The sequence below is a fragment of the Homo sapiens genome, chromosome 13 (genome assembly GCF_000001405.40).
Source record: "Homo sapiens chromosome 13, GRCh38.p14 Primary Assembly".
In the NCBI taxonomy this organism is placed as follows: domain Eukaryota; kingdom Metazoa; phylum Chordata; class Mammalia; order Primates; family Hominidae; genus Homo; species Homo sapiens.
Genome location: NC_000013.11, coordinates 63,447,009 through 63,466,883, shown reverse-complemented (window position 1 = coordinate 63,466,883; position 19,875 = coordinate 63,447,009). Strand labels below are relative to the sequence as shown.

General features: G+C 35.3%; 1 long non-coding RNA gene across 1 annotated transcript in view, besides 1 other annotated feature; it reads right to left on the bottom strand.

Moving 5' to 3' along the window:
* The window catches only part of LOC124903236 (uncharacterized), a 116,328-nt gene that overhangs the window by 46,552 nt on the left and 49,901 nt on the right, over nucleotides 1-19,875 (bottom strand). The gene's annotated exons all lie outside the window — the stretch shown is intronic.
* Nucleotides 13,562-13,731: an enhancer, noted in NCBI's record as "experimental_33081 CRE fragment used in MPRA reporter constructs". NCBI's record gives its function as "activates a minimal promoter by MPRAs in K562 erythroleukemia cells, with activity observed for the non-introgressed 13:64027371 variant allele {active_cell/tissue: K562}" and the evidence as "EXISTENCE:reporter gene assay evidence [ECO:0000049][PMID:34662402]".

The following is a 19,875-nucleotide window of genomic DNA, read 5'->3' as shown; positions in this document are numbered from 1 at the left end:
ATGACACACTTTATATATTTTTATATTGTGTATCCATTAAAATATTATAAAATATTTTTGTGTTGTATATCCATTATTCAAGCTATAGTTATTTTTAACACTTTCTTCTTTTAACTGTTATACTAGAGCTAAATGTGATATATGTACCACCATGACAGTATTAGGGAATTCTAAATTTGAATATATATTTATCTTTACCAGTAGATTTTATACTTTCTTATTTTTTTATAGTTACTTAACATCTTTTTTTTTTTCATTATGAAAGACTACCTTTTGTATTTCTTTTTTTTTTTTTTTAGACAGTCTCACTCTGTCACCAGGCTGGAGTGCAGTGGCACGATCTTGGCTCACCGCAACCTCCGACTCCCTGGTTCAAGCAATTGTCCTGCCTCAGCCTCCCAAGTAGCTGGGATAACAGGCACGTGCCACCATGCCCAGCCAATTTTTGTATTTTTAGTAGAGACGGGGTTTCAACACGTTGACCAGGACGATCTCGATCGCCTGACCTTATGGTCTGCCTGCCCATTTCTCCCTCCCAAAGTGCTGGGATTATAGGCATGAGCCACCAAGCCCAGCCCCATTTGTACTTCTTATAAGGCAAGTCTAGTGGTGACAATTACATTAGGTTTTTCTTGTCTGGGAAGGTCTGCATCTCTCTCTCTTATTTCTTAAGGACAGCTTTGTCAGGTATTTTATTTTGGGTTGGCATTTTTTTTTTTTCTTTTTTCTTCAGGACTTTGAATATACAATTCTATTCCTTTGTTGCCTGCAAAATTTCTGCCAAAAAATCCACTGATAGCTTTAAGGGGGTTCCCTTTTCTGTGATGAGTTGCTTTTCTACTGCTGCTTTTAAAATTCTAACTTTTGATGAGTTGATTACTATATGTCTAGATGTAATCTTTAGATTTGTCTTGCATGTGTCCTTTGAGATTCATGAACCTGGAGACTGATATTTTCCCCAAGATTTGGGAGTTAGACTTTATTTATTTATTTAGACGGACTGTCACTCTGTAGCTCAGGCTGGAGTGCAGTGGCACAATCTTGGCTCACTGCAACCTCTGCCACCAAGGTTCAAGTGATTCTCCTGCCTCAGCCTCCTGAGTAGCAGTGCTTGGCCCATTATTTTTCAAAATAATCAATCTTACCTTTTTATTTCTCTTCTCCTTCTGAAAATTTTACAAGCTGTATATTCATTCACTTGACAATGTTTCATGGCACCTGTGCATTTTCTTCACTTTTTTTTTTTTTTTTTTCTATATGTTTCCCTAACTTGCTAATTTCAAATGACTTTTTTTTTTTTTCAGGTTGTTGATTCTTTTCCTACACAACTGAGTCTGATATTGAAGTTCTATATTGATGTTTTTTTAGTTCTTTTATTATATTTTTCAACTCCAGAATTTGTTTGGTTATCTTTCTGGTCTCTATTTCTTTATTAAACTTCTAATATTGTTCATGCATTGTTTTTCCAGTTTTGTTTAGTTGCTTATCTGTCTTTTCTGGCATCTCAGTTAGCTTTTGTAAGATGTCTGTTTTGAATTATTATTATTATTATCTTTTCTGGCATCTCAGTTAGCTTTTGTAAGATGTCTGTTTTGAATTATTATTATTATTATTATTATTATTATTATTATTATTATTATTATTATTATTTGAGATGGAGTTTTGCTCTTGTTGCCCAGGCTTTAGTAGAGACAGGGTTTCACCATGTTGGCCAGGCTGGTCTCAAACTCCTGACCTCAGGTGATCCACCCGCTTTGGCCTCCCAAATTGCTGGGATTACAGGTGTGAACCACTGTGCCCAGCCTGTTTTGAATTATTTATCAGGCAATTACATTTGTTTTTAGTTGGTTACTGGAGCTTTATTAGTTTCCTTTAGTGCTGTCATGTTTTCTTGATTCTTTATAATCTATGTAGTCTTGCATTGGTGTCTGTGCATTTGAAGGAACAAACACCTCTTCCAGTTTTTACAGACTATTTTCAGCAAGTAAAGCTCTTCTCCTGTTGGATCCATAGCTGATGAGATTGCCTCTGGGTTTGCAGTTGAGTAAGGTTGGGGCTGAATCACGTGGCTGCTGCTTGGCCCAATAGTGGGCTCTGTGGTTGGTAGGCCTGTTACAAGGGCCCCAGTGGGAGTGGATCTTGCATTGTCCCTGGACCAACTACACTGCCTCCAGGACCTTAATCAGTTCTCTGGCACTGGGATGAGAGTTTCTTTCAAGGTTCATAGATGGTGGACCTGTTGCCGGATATGCATCTAGTAATCGCTTCCAATGAGTCCCCAAGAGTACTCCCACCAGGTCATTGGGCATGCCCCTGGGGTAGGATTGGCTCCAAACCACTGCTGAGAGAGACTGGAACAGAATCACAGGGCTGCTTGAGGGCCCAGAGCTAAGACCAGTATCTGCAGGCCTGCCTTCAAGAGCATGGATGGGCATGCCTTCTGCCAGATTCCTGGGCAGGCAGGATTATTCCTGGACCATGGCCAAGTGGAGCTGGAGCAAGGTAACAGCATTGCTTCAGGACAAGGTTGGCAGGTCTCCTCTGAGAGTATGAATGTGCATGTCACTCAGTATATCCCCAGGCAGAAAGGATTTTTCTCAGAACATAGCTGAGAGGAACTGAAACTGAGGCACAGGGCTATGTCAGAATCTGGAGTGAGACTGAATTCTGTAGGCCTGCCTCTAGGGACGTGAATAAGTTTGTCTCCTGGCAGATCTATAGGCAGGCAGGACTGCATCCAGACTGCTACTGAGAGGAGCTGGAGCCAGTTCATAGGCTGCTTCAGGTTCCTCAGCTCATACCAGGTTCAGTGACACTATTAACTGGGGTATGATTGTGCATGGGTCCTCCCTAGTCCCTTGGTGGATGGTGCTGGTGGCAAAGGCCAAACAGTGCTGTAGCTGAGGAACAGGGGAAGTTTCTGTGTCTAGATCTGTAGCCAAGACCACAGTCATTGAGCCTGCCAGCTGGATGTGGGATTGCCTTCTCAAAATGGCCCTTTTTTGTGTATGACTTTACTGGGGTTTTTCAACCTCCTACCTAGATCCCAAAGCTCCTACAAAGTCACTTTTGGTGGGAGATGGTTGCAGAATTACTGTTGCTGTAGGGGTATATGAGTCGGGGACTTCATATTATGTCACCTTATGGAGGTTTTGTTTTTATAAAATCTGTCTTGCTGGGGTTCAGAACTATTCTATGTGAAAAAGATGTCACATTGATTCACTCTGTCTCCAGGTGCCTGTTTACTAATCTCTTCTTTGCAGACTCCATTTTCTCTATACAAATTACATTATGGATTTTTGAGGTTCAAAGACTCACAAATCTAGATGTGTCAGTATACATTCCCATGTATATTACTGTTTAACTTAGTGTCTATGCCTGTCTATCTATTTATCCATCTATGTAAATTTATTACCACTAATTTTTTCAAGAGTATTATATGTTACATATAAAATGTTAATAATATAAACCTAGTAGACCATATTTTAAATGACATTCTTTGTAAATTAAATTGAATACATTTAAACATTTGATTCTAAGAAATATAAAAGCTGCTTTAGTATTTCAGATGAATTATAATTATTATTACTGATTGAGTTGTTTTATTATACTGTCAAACTGACAGACTAAGACATGCTTCATACATAGGACGATTTATTTAATAGTTCTCTCCTTGAACAATAAATAAAATCAACTATGTGCATGTCTTACCTATAAAAAGTACTTTCAAGTTAAAGGTATTTAGTCAGTATATTCAGTTGATAGTCATATGAAGATGACTATAACAGAAATTCACTCCCTGGTGCAAGATAAATAGACTGTACTAAGGTATCTTCCCTAGACTGGTAAATAAGTTTTCAGCATCCTGATTAAAACAAAATTTGATTTGTGGTTTGAATGAACTATAGTTTTCTCTATCTGCCCAAGCTCTCCTCCATTAGCATGGATATTCAAGAGACATTAGCATGGATATTCAACGACATTATAATTGCAAAAAATGTTTAGCTGAAGTTCAAATCAATGTGTTTAAATAAGACCTACCTCATGAGGGTGGACTGGTGAAGTATCTATTTATGAGTAGTCAAGGGGTATAAATCAAAAAGGTGTTTAAATTTCAGAATCCCTTACCTACGTGATATGCTTCTTTGTTGATGTCTACTTTCAGTCTCAGTAGACTGTTTTAGCATGCTTATTGTGTAAAATCTTGACAAATTTATGGTGCATTCACTCAGCACTAATCCCATAAATTTTTAAGGCTTTCATTTTTCCTGATTCAGATTGTTTTTTGCTACCTGCATTAATTGGAAGATGTCTTTCCATATTAATTAGGGTTTGATCAGAATTATTTTGAGATACAAAAGAAAAGATTTTATAAAATAAAAAGTTTTTATTCCAAATAATGACATAGGCCAAGTCATTTTTATATTGTCTACAATTACATTATATATGAATATTTGAGTTTCAAAATGCCATTTCTCTCTGAAGGAAAATCAAATAAACGTATGGTTGTCACATGCATATCTGTCTGAAAAGTAATTGAATCTTCAATGCTTGATCAATTATGTGCATTGTTATTAAAGGCCATTAGATGATAAGATATAAAGACTCCTGATCAGTTACTAATAGTGTTGTAAAATATTTTGAGACATATTGTGTTTGCAGTCTTCTGTCTAAAAAAGTAATTTGTATTGTTTTAAATTCTTGGTTGTTATTTTATGGTGACAAGATAAATATTTAATATGCCTTATATGTTATTTCTGAAAAAAAATAATAGTTTGACTCAGGCCATTGTTTCTCTGTTAAAACTATGAGGCACTGAAAGTTTATAGCCACAGGAGTGAAGCTGAAATTCATCAACAGAACAGCCATAATAACTGGATAGTATTCAAGTGTTTTGTCTTTGTATACATTGAGGGTGCTATTTTATCAGTAGCAAATATAATGCAAGAGTACATTCTGAGACACAGTATAGAAACAGCATATCCTATATTAAAATATGTGTTTTGAGGCATTGTGAATTGGGATGATTTTTCTTGGGCCTTATGTTTGGTGGAGGGCAATTGGGCATGCTACTGAAGTAGAGTAGAAAGGCTATCTAAGAAGGGGTAGTTGCAGAAAAAGCCCTCTGCTGAATCACCTTATTCTTCCATCTCTCAAGCTAACTTATGGCCATCACCAAAGCTAAATTGGTAGCGAAGTCCTCCTCCACTTTTTAGTAGCTACAAGTTGGCTCTTTTTACTTTGAAATTTTCAACTCAAGGTTGTCCAAAAGAGTACAAATAAATGTGTAGTTTTGCAGAAAAATGTCAACTAAAAAATGTTTTGGTGAAAAGTACATGCTGTAAATTGTCTTTATTGCTGTGTCCCCTTAGAGGGACATCAAATCTTGAACTTTTTAATAGCAGCTCCTTTTGTCCTATTTGTTTATATAATCTTATCTCTGAATCAAGGATAAGATTGTGTTCTAAATTAGGTAAAATGTACTCATATGTTGAGCTCCCAGAAAAACACTGAACTCTACAAACAAGTACAACAGAACCCAAAACATACTTAATCGTTTGCTTGTGTTCTTTTAGGTTTTTCAATTAATTTGAAAATACATAAGCAAACAAAAACACTGGATAAAATAAATAATGTAAAGAAAAGGATAAAGATCCTATGAGGAAAACGTGATAGAGGAAACTCAGTGATTCTTGAAGTCTGAGAAAATTTTCTTAGAATCTGACATGATGCATGGTGGGAGAGAACCAGGCTAGGCATGGTGGTCAGGGTAGTCAAGAGAAGGAAATGTATGGGAAGAATTCTGTGGTGGTACTAGACTTATGAAGGAGTTTATTATTAACATAGATTATTTCACAGAGTCAGGGACATTAGTCCAAGATTCCAAAGATGTTAATGTTTCAACATAATTTACATCTGCAAACTACTAACAGTAACATCTGTTAAAGAAAATGATTATGTGGAAAGAGACTACCACCACAGGGAGGGCAGAGGAGGCATGCAATAGTAAAGAATGCATCTCTCATCTTATCATTCTAATATGTTTTACTAATGACATGTTCCACAGTAATGGGTGTAATTTATAAATAGACTGAAATCCAGAGTGTTTGATGATCAAATAGTCCATGAATGCTACATTTCAAATGTGTGTGATATTTATAATAGGATGTAAAATGCATTTAAACACAAGCTGTGCTCATTTATATTCATAGTCAGGGCATAAGAGATACAGCAGAAGGGAATGTGTTCTTGGTGTGCTAACTTGTTCTATAGAAGGCATGAGCTGAGGTCATATTTCTCGTGATTTAAATTAGGCAACATAACCTGAGCTGAGACACGCAGAGAAAAGTTTCAGCTACCATAGAAAACTTTATTCTTCTATGAGAAAACATGTCTCTGAGAGGTTAAAAGTCAGATATGTGAAGAGAGAATGCATGGCTGTTGATTGTGGAGAGCTGCTTTGAAACATCTCTTGTTCCTATCTTGCTCCTCATTTACAGAGTAAATTAGCACAGTGCTGTGGTCTGAATGCTGTGTCCCCCCAAAATTCACATGTATAAATTTAGTCACAAATGAGATGGCATTAGGAGGTGGGGTTGTTAGGAAATCATTCTGACATGGGATTAGTGCCCTTATAAACGGGGCCCCAGAGAGCTGCCTTGACCCTATTCCACCATGTGAAAACCCAATTAGAAGACAGCATCTATGAACCAGAAAGTGAGCCCTTGCCAGACAGAGTCTGCCGGCACCTTGAGCATGGACCTCGCAGTATCCAGAACTGTAAGAAACAAATTTCTGTTATTTGTAAGCTGCCCAGTTTATGGTGTTTTGTTATATAGCAGTCTGAATGGATGAAGACACACACCACCAAAGAACAAATTCTCTTATGTTCCATATTTCATGCCCTAATTATGAATATAAATGAACACTTTAGTTTTTAATAGGTTTGAAGCTCAATTATACAATTTCACATATACATGGAATATTACATTTATTGACTATTTGATTACCAAATCTCTTTGGGTCCCAGTTTATTCATAAAGTAACACTCACAACAGTAGGGCATGCCTCTATCAAAATATATTAGAATTATGTCATAGGAGATTTAATATTTAAATCTCCACCCTTCTCTTCACCCCAGAGTGGTGATCTCTTTCCAAACAATATTTTTGAGAGATGTTACTGATAAAAATATAGGTTTATTTAAACAGATTAAGTATTTATTAAATAATAATTCTTGTTCATGTGAACCCAGTTTATATCTTATCATAAGCAGCAAGAAATAATCATCTGGGGAATGTAAGCTTCAGATACTAAGCAGAAACTAATGTGAATAATTACTGAGAATGCTAAATAGTGGCTAAGAATAAGATTTTCCTTTCAATTGCTTCAACTGAGGGAGAGAAGGGAATTGAACAAATAAGATAGGGGAGGATATGTGTGTTTATTGGGTAGAATATACACCAAATATTCAAAAGGATTTGTTTGTGTCATCTTGTTCCTTGTATTTCACCAAGTTCACGTTGTCTTTTCTAGGTCTAATTGCTACCATGCAATGCATCATTAATTTTTTTTTGAAAAAATACGATTGTCACATTATGGGGAAATCTATATTTTTGTATGATGTAGGAACAAAAGTTGATAATTTCTCCATAGATTTATTGGCACCAAGTGTCGTTTACCAGTAAAGGACAGAATGATCTTGGGAGTATGTATTGTACTTTTCACTTCATAAAGCTGAAATGAGAGGTGTTAAGAGCTTTTACTTCTGCTGAGTGTCATTGTTTCTCTATCATCCCCTTTCATGTTCCCATTATCAAAATTTTCTCAGATGTGTAGATGCCCACTACAGTGAAATGCGCTGCCAAAGAGCTTTCAGGAATTTTACAGAAGCTTTCTTTTTTGGATCACATCTCAAGTTCAACTCAGTCATCTGATTCAGTGAAATCTGTAGACTCTGAAGAAAAGAAAGAAAAAAAAAAAGAAACTCAGAAGTCCTATTGTAAATTTTGCATGAACTCACGTGCTGAACTTTTCATATTAATTGCAGTTATATTGGTAGGTGCTGAAAGTTCTGTATTCTCAAATCCTTGTGAGTTAGCATCATAGAATCTTCTGTTATTCTCATATGACAGTCCCAAGTGGAATATTCTAGGTAAGCAGGAAACTTCCTGTACATGTTGATTCAGTCCTGACATAGAATCACAAGATTCTTATATTTAGAAACTTCCCCCAACTCCCCACCCCAGTGTCTCATCTTCATCTATATCCAGCTGGCAGAAACAGAAAGGACACACCAACAAACCTGTTTCATAATTTCCTTTACAAACAAGTAACGCAATAGAAAAAAGTCGTGTTTGGTTGGTTGGTTGGTTGGTTGGTTGGTGATAGCTCATCACCTGAACACAAGAGGAGCAGGGAAAGGTAGTTCCGGGCTAGCCAGGCACACCTCAGCGATGTGATTCCATCACAGAAGAAGTTGATTATAAATTTGATGGATTTGGCTGGGCGCAGTGGATCATGCCTGTAATCCCAGCACTTTGGGAGGCCAAGGCAGGCAGATTACGAGGTCAGGAGACTGAGACCATCCTGGCTAACATGGTTAAACCACGTCTCTACTGAAGAAAAAAAAAAAAAAATTAGCCCAGAGTGGTGGCGGGTGCCTGTAGTCCCAGCTACTCAGATGGCTGAGGCAGGAGAATGGCGTGACCTGGCAGGTGGAGCTTGCAGTGAGCCAAGATGGCGCCACTGCACTCCAGCCTGGGCAACAGAGTGAGACTCAATCTCAAAAAAAAAAAAAAAAAAAAAATTAAAAATAAATAAATAAATAAATAAATTTGATGGAGTCAATAATCTTCTTCTTCTTTTCATCTAAGGTTCAGAAGAGGAGACTAGGAGTCTAAGTAGATCACCAAAATGTTGTCACAAAATTAATAATACATAATTCTTTTACTATACCAAGCATGACCCAAAGTTATTTTGTGGTTGTATTCCCTCTCTTTCTGTATTTAGTAAGGGTTAAACGGTGGAAATGCAGGAGACAGAACCACAGATTGTTTTGGGTGCTTGGGAGTTTATCATGTTTTAATGGCCAATGCAGGTTCTCATGTTATTCTATTGCATTGGCCCTAAAAAACTATATATATTAGAAATTTTGGAAACATTTACTTAATCTACAAACTGAATAGATATTTGGTATGAACAAAATAATTTGATGGGTTGTTTTTAAATTCTAAATGAGATTAATTGCCAGTATGGAATTAAACAATTAAAACTATGCATCCAACACAAATCTAATATCCAGAATCTATAAGGAACTTAATTCAAGAAGCAAAAAACAACCCCATTAAAAAGTGGGCAAGAGACAAGAACAGACACTTCTCAAAAGAAGACATAGAGGTGGCCAAAAAACATATTAAAACATGTTCAGCATCACTAATCATCAGAGAAATGCAAATCAAAACCACAATGAGAAACCATCTCACATCAGTCAGAATACCTATCATAAATAACTCAAAAAAAAAAAAAAAAAAAAAAACCTACAGATTCTGGCAAGACTGCGAAGAAAAGGGAATGCTTGCACATTGTTGGTGAGAATGTGAATTAATTCAGCCACTGTTGAAAGTATTTTGGAGATTTCCCAAAGAAGTTAATACAGAGGACCATTCAAACCAGCAATCCCATTGCTGCATATATATCCAAAGGAAAATAGATCATTCTACCAAAAAGACACATGTTGTATGCCTATGTTCATTGCAGCACTATTAGCAATAGAAAAGACTTGGAGTCAACCTAGGTGCCCACTGACGGTGGATTAGATAAAGTGTGATACTTATACACCATGCAGCCAGTTATGTCCTTTGCAGCAACATGGATACAGCTGGAGGCATTATACTAAGTGAATTAATGCAGAAACAGAAAACCAAATACTGCATGTTCTCACTTACAAGTGAGAGCTAAACATCCGGTACTCATGGACATAAAGATAACAATAGACACTGGAAACGACTAGAGGGAGGAAAGAAGGATGCTTGAAAAACTATTGGGTACTATGCTCAGTACCTGGGTGACAGGATCATTTGTACTCCAAGCCTCAGCATCACACGATATACCCATGTAACAAACCTGCACATGTACTCCCTGTATCTAAAATAAAAGTTTAAAAAGTTGTTTAAAAAGAAGTTAAGCAACTAATTAATAATAAATGTTATGACATTGTGTAGTAAAGAGTAGTAACTTCTTTGAATTCGCATATTCTTAATTTTTTTGGCATTAGTAATTTTACTACTGGCTAATTTTTCATGATGGTTTATTTATTTTTTCATAAGATTTTTCTATTTTGTTCTGAAAGATAATGATTGGAAAGGAAAGATATAAGAAGCAAAACTGAGTAGAAAAGGGATTTAAAAAGGAGAAAGACAGGCCGGGCATGGTGGCTCACGCCTGGGAGGCCGAGGTAGGCAAATCACCTGAGGTCGGGAGTTCAAGACCAGCCTGACTAACATGGAGAAACCCCGTCTCTACTAAAAATACAAAAAATTAGCCGGGCCTGGTGGTGCATGCCTGTAATCTCAGTTACTTGGGAGGCTGAGGCAGGAGAATTGCTTGAATCTGGGAGACGGAGATTGCAGTGAGCAGAGATCATGCCATGCCATTGCACTCCAGTCTGGGCAACAAGAGTGAAACTCCATCTAAAAAAAAAAAGTGGGGAAAGACAGTCTACCTCTTAGTTTCCACCACTAGGGGGTTTAAATAAATTTTGTTGTAGCTACACAGTAGACCGCTGTGTGTCTCCAGAAAGGAAAGGAATGAGTGAGTATATTAAATAATGTGTATCTTGTGCTTGAATAAATATACTAAAGTGAAAATGCAAGGCAAAAAATAATATGTATCTAATACAATTTTGCATTAAGAATGGAAATTCTGGAAGGATATGCAATGCACGAAACCACGGGTTATCTGTGGGGATAGTTTTGAGATACAGAAGAAAATAGGAGGATAGAGGAAATAATATGATGTTCACCTCAAGTTTTGGGTTATTTTAAAACATATTATCTAATCAAAAAATAAGAACATAAGTGAGAGAAAATTGACAGAAGTTTATAGACTAATGACAAATATAAAGCAGTAATATTGCTTACATTTCTTCTTTCCTTATTGCTTCCCTTCACCCTGCCATTTTGTCCTATTAAATGCTACTGCTCAAGCTTTGATAATTTTTCTTACTGGCTATTTTTTGAAACTTCTATTTCTCCTTCTCTAATGTCATCCCATATATTCCCATTTTGATATCTTTCAGCTTGTCCGAACTATTTTCTCTTCTTCATTTCCTTGCAGTCCTGCTTACTTCTCTCACCGTTTCTATTCACAGGTCTCCCTTAATTGCAGTGGCAAAAACTGGAAATTGAGTTGTATCTAATTCTTTTCTTTTCCACTCTTAATATACACATGTGACCATAACTTGTATGTAATATTTTATGTATCCTTACATTTGACTCTCACTGCTGCTTTCTGAGTTTAGGCACTTCTTGCTATCTAGGTGGTTCATGGCATTAATTTTTATAATTTTGATTTGCTTGTAAAAATTTCTTTTGCCGTATTTTAAGCAGAGAACCTAAAGTGTTGTGTTTATTTTATCTACTCCAACATTGCTGAGTTTCATTTTCTACATGAATATTCTTTTTAATTGATATATAATAGATGTACATATTTTGGGGGGTACATGTACATGTAATATTTTTGTTACATGCATACAATATGTAATAGTCAAATCAGGGTAATTGAAATATCTATCATCTCAAATATTTATCTTTTTTATACTGGCAACATTTGTATTCTTCTCTTTTAGCTATTTTGAAGTACACAGCAGACTATTATTAACTGTAGTCACCCTACAGACATATCAAACATTAAGTCCTATTTCTTCTAACTGTATTTTTGTATCAATTGATCAAACTCTCTTCATCTCAACTCACACATTTCCTGACCTCTGATAATCTCCAATATATTATTTTCATGAGGGCCTCTTTTTTCGCTTACACATATGAGTGAGAACATGCAATATTTGTCTTTGTGTGTTTGGCTTATTTCACTTGCAGTGACCTCCAGTTCCATCCATGCTTCTGTGAATGATAGGATTTTCTTCTTTTCTATGGCTGAATAATATTCTATTGTGTATATATACCACATTTTTTACCCATTCAACCTTTGATGGACAATTAGGTTGAGTTTATATTTTGGCTATTGTGAATAGTGCCTCAATAAACACGTGAATGCAGGTATTTCTTCATATATTGAAATCTTTTTTTCTGGATATATGTCCAGTAGTGGGATTGCTAGATCATACGGCGGTTCTATGTTTAGTTTTATTGAAAAGCCTCCATATTTTTTTCACACTGGCTTTACTAATTTACATTTCCATCAACAGTGTACAAGATTTCCCTTTTCTCTACATTCTTGGAGCATCCATCATAATCTATCTTTTTGATAAAAGTCATTTCAAGTAGGATGAGATGGTATCTCCTTGCAGTTTTGATTTGCTTTTCTTTGTTGATTAGTGATGTTGAATATTTTTTCACATACCTGTTGGCCATTTATATGTCTTCTTTTTAAGAAATGTCTATTCATATATTTTGCCCATTTTTTAAAAACGATTAATCGCTTTGTTTGTTTTGTTTTGTTTTAATAGATTTAGGAGGTATAAGTGCAGTTTTGTTACATGGATACCTTGTAGAGTGGTGAAGTTTGGGATTCTAATGTAAGCACCACCCGAATAGTGTACATTTTATCCTTTAAGTAATTTCTCATTCCTCACCCACCTCCCACTTCCCACATTTCTAGGCCTCCATTTTATATTATTCCATTCTTTGTGTTCATGTTTACACATTATTTATTATTATAAGTGAGAACATGCAGTGTCTGACTGTCTCTGAGTTATTTTACTTAGGATAATGGCCTCTAGTTCCATCTATGTTGATTCAAAAGACATAATTTAATTCTTTTTTTCCATGGCTGGGTATATTGTATAATATATGCAATACATATAGTATATATTGTATAATATATACTACATGTATATTGTATGATATATATACTACATACATATGTAGTGTGTATATATATATACACACATCACATTTCTAAAAACATACATGTATACATACATCACATTTCTAAACGTCATCCATTGATAGACACCTAGGTTGATTCCATATATTTACTATTGTGAATAGTGCTATGATAAACAATTGCAGGTATCCTTTTGATAAATGATTTATTTTGGGTAGATATGCAGCAGTGAGAATGCTGGATCAAATGGTAGATCTATTTTTAGTTCTTTTGCCCATTTTTAAATTGAATTATTTGGGTTTTTTGCTACTGACTTGAGTTCCTCATATATTTCAGTTACGGATTTCCTACCAGATGGATAGTTTGTGAATACTTTCTTCCGTTCTGCAGGTCGTCCCTTCACTTTGTTGATGTTTCTTTTCCTTTACAGAAGGTTTTTAGCTTGATGCAATTTCATTAGTCTATTTTTGCTTTTGCTGCCTGTGCTTTTGAGGTCTTACTTAAAAACTCTTTGTCCAGACCAGTGTCCTGGTGCATTTCCTCAATGTTTTCTTGTAGTAGTTTCTTTGTTCCAGGGCTTACATTTGTCTTTAATCCATTTTGATTTGATTTTTTTATATGGTGGAAATAGGAATCAGTTTCATGCTTCTGCATGTGACTATACAGTTTTACTAGCAGTATTTATTGAAGAGTCTGTCCTTTCCCTACTGTATGTTCCTAGCGCCTGTGTCAAGATAAGTTGGCTGTAAATGTATGAATTTATTTCTGGTTCTCTATTCTGTTCCATCGTCTATGTATCTGTTCTTAGGCCAGTACCATGATGACTTGGTTTACATAGCTTTGTAGAAAATTTTGAAGTCAGGTAGTGTGATACTTCCAGCTTCATTCTTTTTGCTCAGAATTGCTTTAGTTATTCAGGTTTTTTTGAGGTTTTGTATATACTTCAGGATTTTTTTTTCTATTTTTGTGAAGAATGTCATTAGTATTCTGATAAAGATTGCATTGAATCTCAAGATCTCTTTGGGTAGTATTGACATTTTAACAATATAATACTTCCAATCCATGAGAATGGAATATTTTTCCATTTCTGGTATAAACTTTAATTTCTTTAATCAGTGTGTTTTACAGTTTTCCTTCTATAGTTTTTATCATTTCTTTGGTTAAATATATTCTTAAGTATTATGATTTTTTTCATTGTTCACCATTGAGGTATATAAATGATGTATATAAACGTGTAACAAGTTTGAAAATATTCTTCCCCTTAGATTTTTTTGAAGAGTTTGAGTAGTATTTGGTATTAGTTCTTTAAATGTTTGGTAGAACTCAGCAGTGAAGCCATCAGATCCTGGGATTTTTTGATGGGATATTTTTATTATGGCTTCAATTTCATTATTCTCTATTACTTTGTGCAGGTTTTCTATTTCTTTCTGATTCAATCTTCATAGATTGTATGTATCTAGAAATTTATCCATTTCTTCTAGATTTTTCTACTTGTTAGCATATAATTGTGCAATGTAATTTATTTATTTATTTATTTATTTATCTCTCTCTCTCTCTCTCTTCCTTTCTTTCTTTCTTTCTTTTTTTTTTTTTTTTTTTTGGAAAGTAAGTCTCACTCTGTCGCCCAGGCTGAAGGGCAGTGGCATGATCTTAGCTCACTGCAACTTTGCCTTCCGGGTTTAAGCAATTCTCCTGCCTCCCAAATAGCTGGGATTACAGGCACTCGCCACAATGCCTGTCTAATTTTTTTGTACTTTTAGTAGAGATGGGGTTTCACCATGTTGGCCAGGCTGGTTTCGAACTCCTGACCTCTAGTCATCCACCCACCTTAGCTTCCCAAATTGTTAGGACTACAGGTATGAGCCACTGCACCCGGCCTGTTCAATGTAATTTCTAGTGATGCTTTATATTTCTCTGGCATCAGTGATGTTTCATTTTCATCTCTGATTTATCTACTTAGATCTTCCTCCTTTTTCTCTTAGTTTCTTAGTCTAGCTAAAGGTTTGTCAATTTTATCTTTTCAAAAAACCAACTTTTAATTTTGTTGATATTTTGTATTTTTTAGTCTCAATTGTATTTATTTATGCTCTGATATTTATTATTTCTTCCCTTTTATTAAGTTTGGGTTTGATTTGTTCTTGCTTTCCTAGTTCCTTGAGGGACATTGTTAGATTGTTTATTTGAAATCTACTTATTGTTTTTACGTAGGTGTTATTGCTATAAACTTCCCTCCTAGTCTTGCTTTTACTGTATCTCATAGTTTTTTTTTTTTTTTTTTTTTTTTTTTGAGACAGAGTCTGGCTCTGTTGCCCAGGCTGGAGTGTAGTGGCACGATCTCGGCTCACTGCAAGCTCCGCCTCCCGGGTTCATGCCATTCTCCTGCCTCAGCCTCCTGAGCAGCTGGGACTGCAGGCGCCCGCCACCACTCCCGGCTAATTTTTTTTTTTGTATTTTTAGTAGAGACGGGGTTTCACCGTGTTAGCCAGGATGGTCTCGATCTCCTGACCTCGTGATCTGCCCACCTCGACCTCCCAAAGTGCTGGGATTACAAGCGTAAGCCACCGCACCCGGCCATCTCATAGATTTTCACATGTGGTGCTCCCATGTTCATTTGTTTCAGAAATTTTTAAAATTTCTTTCTTAATTTTTTCATCACCCCGTTGATTGTTCAGAAGCAAGTTTTTAATTTTCATGAGTTTGTTTAGTTTCCACCACTCCTCTTGTAATTAATTTCTAGTTTATTCCATTATGGTCAGAAAGAAATACTTGAGATTTTGAGATTTTTGAATGCGTTGAGGCTGGTTTTGTGGCATAACGTGGTATATTTAGAGGATTATTTCATGTGATATTGAGAAGAATGTGCATTACGAAACACCGAAGCCCATTGGTCTAGTGTGGAGTTTAATTCCAATGTTTCTTTGCGGACTTTCTGTCTGAATGATACTAGAAGTGAGGTGTTGAAGTTTCCTACTATTACATTTTATGGTCTGTCTTTCCCTTTAAATCTATTAATATTTGCTTTATATACTTGGATGCTTCTGTTTTGGGTACCTAGATATTTATAGTTACTATATTCTTTTGAAGAATTAACCCCTTTATTGTCATCTAGTGACCTTTCTGCCTATTTTGACAGTCTTTGACTTGTCTATTTTATCTGATGCAAGTACAACTACTCCTGCTCTTCTTTGGCTTTCATTTTCATGAAATATCCTTTTCCCAACACTTCACAAATTCAAAAAGTTTGAAAAAATTCAGAAGTTTGTACGTGTTCTCTTATAAGAAATACAGCACACTTTTGGAGGCCGAGGCGGACGGATCACAAGGTCAAGACATCGAGACCATCCTGGCTAACAAGGTGAAACCCCCTCTCTACTAAAAAGCCAAAAAAATAAAGATTAGCCAGGCATGGTGGTGGGCGCCTGTAGTCCCAGCTACTCGGGAGGCTGAGGCAGGAGAATGGCGTGAACCCGGGAGGCGGAGCTTGCAGTGAGCTGAGATCGCCTCTGCACTCCAGACTGGGAGACACAGCGAGACTCTATCTCAAAAAAAAAAAAAAAGAAAAAGAAAAAGAAAAAAAGAAATATACCAATTTTGTTTGTGAATTAATGTTTTTTTGTTTTTAGAATTAATCTTTTAATTTTAAATAAATAATATTCAAATATATTACTTAAATTGTGAAAAAATTATGGCTCTTTATATAAATCATATAACATCTAAGTTTACCAGTGTTGGAAATTGCACTGGTCAGGTTTAGTGGGTAAGGAAGACTTTATTTAAGACTATTATAAGAGATAGATTGATATAAACTCTGTTGAAACAAAAAGCAGGAGAGTTTTTAAGCACAGGGATGAGCTAATCTAGTGAAAGGCTGTTAGGAGGGTAGTTGGCTGATGTGATTATGCCATCTGTGTTTGCTAGGTGATAGTTACAACAATTAGGCTCCCACTCACCAGCATAGACTAGGAGAAGGGGCACTATCTTTCTTCATGATTACATTTCAAAAGGATACCTCCCAGGTCCTTGGGAAAGACATTCATGGGTAATAAAACTGGCAAGAGGCTGGCAGAAGATTTATATCTTCCCCCAAGGGCAGAAAAAAATTTACAATTCCAAGTATTCTAAAGTGAATGCTCCAAAATAAAGGGAGGTCAAGAGGCTATATAGTCAGGAAGAAACGTTTATTCAAGCTGAGGGAAAACTTTAGACTATTCAGTCATTTACAAAGCAAACTGGTGTAACCTCATGTATGATTTGGAGGACTAAGTAAAAAGATTAAGAAATAACTCAAAAGAGAATGTGTCTGACATGAGGGATGGTCTGATCTAATTTCAGAAAACAAACCTGTGTTCTATTATAAATAGTGACCAGTATTGGTAAAAAAGTAATTGCTCTCATAGCATTTAGGAAAAATTTCTTTGAACATTACATTAATGTGTAAGAATAAATTAAGTTTCTTTCTTTTTCCTTTTTTTTTTTTTTTTTTTGAGATGGAGTCTCGCTCTGTTGCCCAGGCTAGAGTGCAGTGGCACAGTCTTGGCTCACTGCAACCTCCGCCTCCCAGGTTCAAGTGATTCTCCTGCCTCAGCCTTCAAGTGGCTGGGACTATAGGCGTGTACCACCATGCATGGCTAATTTTTTTGTATTTTTAGTAGAGACAGGGTTTCACCCTTTTAGCCAGGATGGTCTCAATCTCCTGACCTCATGATCCACCCACCTCAGCCTCCCAAAATGCTGGGATTACAAGTGTGAGCCACCGCACCCGGCCAGGAATAAGCTAAGTTTCTATAAGAAACCAAGGTTCTCTTACAGTTAAAACATGGGAAAATAGTATAAAACATGTCAGAAGTCAGTTAGAAATCCAAATAGTGCATTGCATTGTTAACGTAAATAGAATGGCATTCTTAAGCAGTTTGTAATGTTGCCTTTTAAAATTATTTCAAATTATTCAGTAATTACATATCTTTCTCATTGTGAAAAAGATTTCAGAGACTGACAGTGATAAATGATCTTAAATTCAGTTATTCAGTAGATGATAATGTCCTATTCACAAATGAACAGCTTTATCTGCTAGTCATTTTTAAAAAGTCCTTTGTACAACTGAGCTGCTGTAATAGAAAGTCCCTGTACTGCTCACTGCACTTATCATTGTGCAGTGTTTCTCCTGAATTCAAAGGATGGCAGAGGCCCATCACATTCTATTTATACTAAGTGCAAACTATAATCTTAAGGTAATGATCCAAGTTTCTAATTCAGAGTGGAAATCATCCTATTGTAAAAGATTCCATTTCTTTTTATCTTAAGTATGCTTTTTAGTCATTGATAAATAATCATGAGATTAGTGTTGAAAAAGGAACAATACTTGAAGTTTAAGCTTACTTATGATTCAATTTCTTTTATTTAATTTTATCTAACCTGTAATTTCTTTGATTTTAAAAATATGTTTGTCACTCAATTCAATCAAAAATAAGAAACAATTTTATTGTATAACTTTTTGTAGTTTCATGATTACTTTTCAGCCTTAAAGATTGAGGCTTTAAGAATTTTCTGAGCAAACCAGTAGAGCCCATCTTTGTTGACTCTAATCCCTCTAATGCTATACTTATATCCCCCTTACAGAAATTAATTCATGAATAGATAAAAATGAAACAATGTCATGTAAATAAAAACTATGATTTTAGGTTTTTCCTACTTATTCTAGTTATAGAAATGTGTGTTACAGTTATATTTGTATTTAAAAATTTAAGTGACTTGTTAATTATTTTAAATAAGAAAGACTGGAGAAATGTCAAATTTCAGTGATCAAAGTATTACTATAAAAATACATATTTTGGGGGACCAGTCAAATGGAATAAAGGTCTTTCTTAAAAATAAAATGTGCCTTCTCCCTTCCTTGTTATCCTGGTTACAGTCTTTATGTATGTTTTTGATAGTGACTATAAATAAAACAAAATATTTTCTAAGATATGTTTGATGGGCAAGGATGAAAATATAACAGAACAAACATCTACCCATAAAAATTCCTGTTATTAAGCATGTATTAGTTCTCTTAAAGAGAAAAGTTCTTTTTCTATGAACACAAAAAATTAAGTCTTTCATTGTTACATTTGTATGTATTCAATTAAGTTCTTTTCTTAGATTGTGATAACTTTGATTGGCTATCTTTTATAAATGTAGAAAAATTCAAACTCTAAAAATCTATTTCAATCAGTATATGAAGATAGATTATTTCACTAGACCTCCAATGTAAGGCTTTACCTATTTGCATAATTATGTAATAATTCCTTTATCATATCCATACAACTTCGTATAATTTTATTTATAGTTATATTTAATAGGGTATTGCTTGGATCTGCATAGTCATCACAATGTTCATTTTAGCAGCACAAAAAAATGAATGTAAGCTTTGTAGTTCACTAAACCAGTGGTTCTCAAACATTAGCATGCGTCAGAATCAACTGAAGGGCTTGTTAAAACAGATTGTCGGGCTCTCCTCTCAGAGTTTCTGTTTCAGTAGTCTGACTTCTCGAAATGTGCCTTTACTTGATGTTGATGCTGCTGAATTGGGGACCACACTTTGGAAATCATTTTATTACCATATTATTGTTCAAATGGACCGTTTTAAAATATTTGCTATGATACATTATATTGCGATACACATTTTTGTGAATTTAATTGCTTTTATTGATTCATATTGTTATCTGCTCTACTCTGAGGTAGTTATTGTTTTCTTTTTTAGAGGATAGGGAGTATGAGGATTAGATTTGGAGTCACTGCATTTCATCATTAAAAAAGTGTAGATCTGATTAT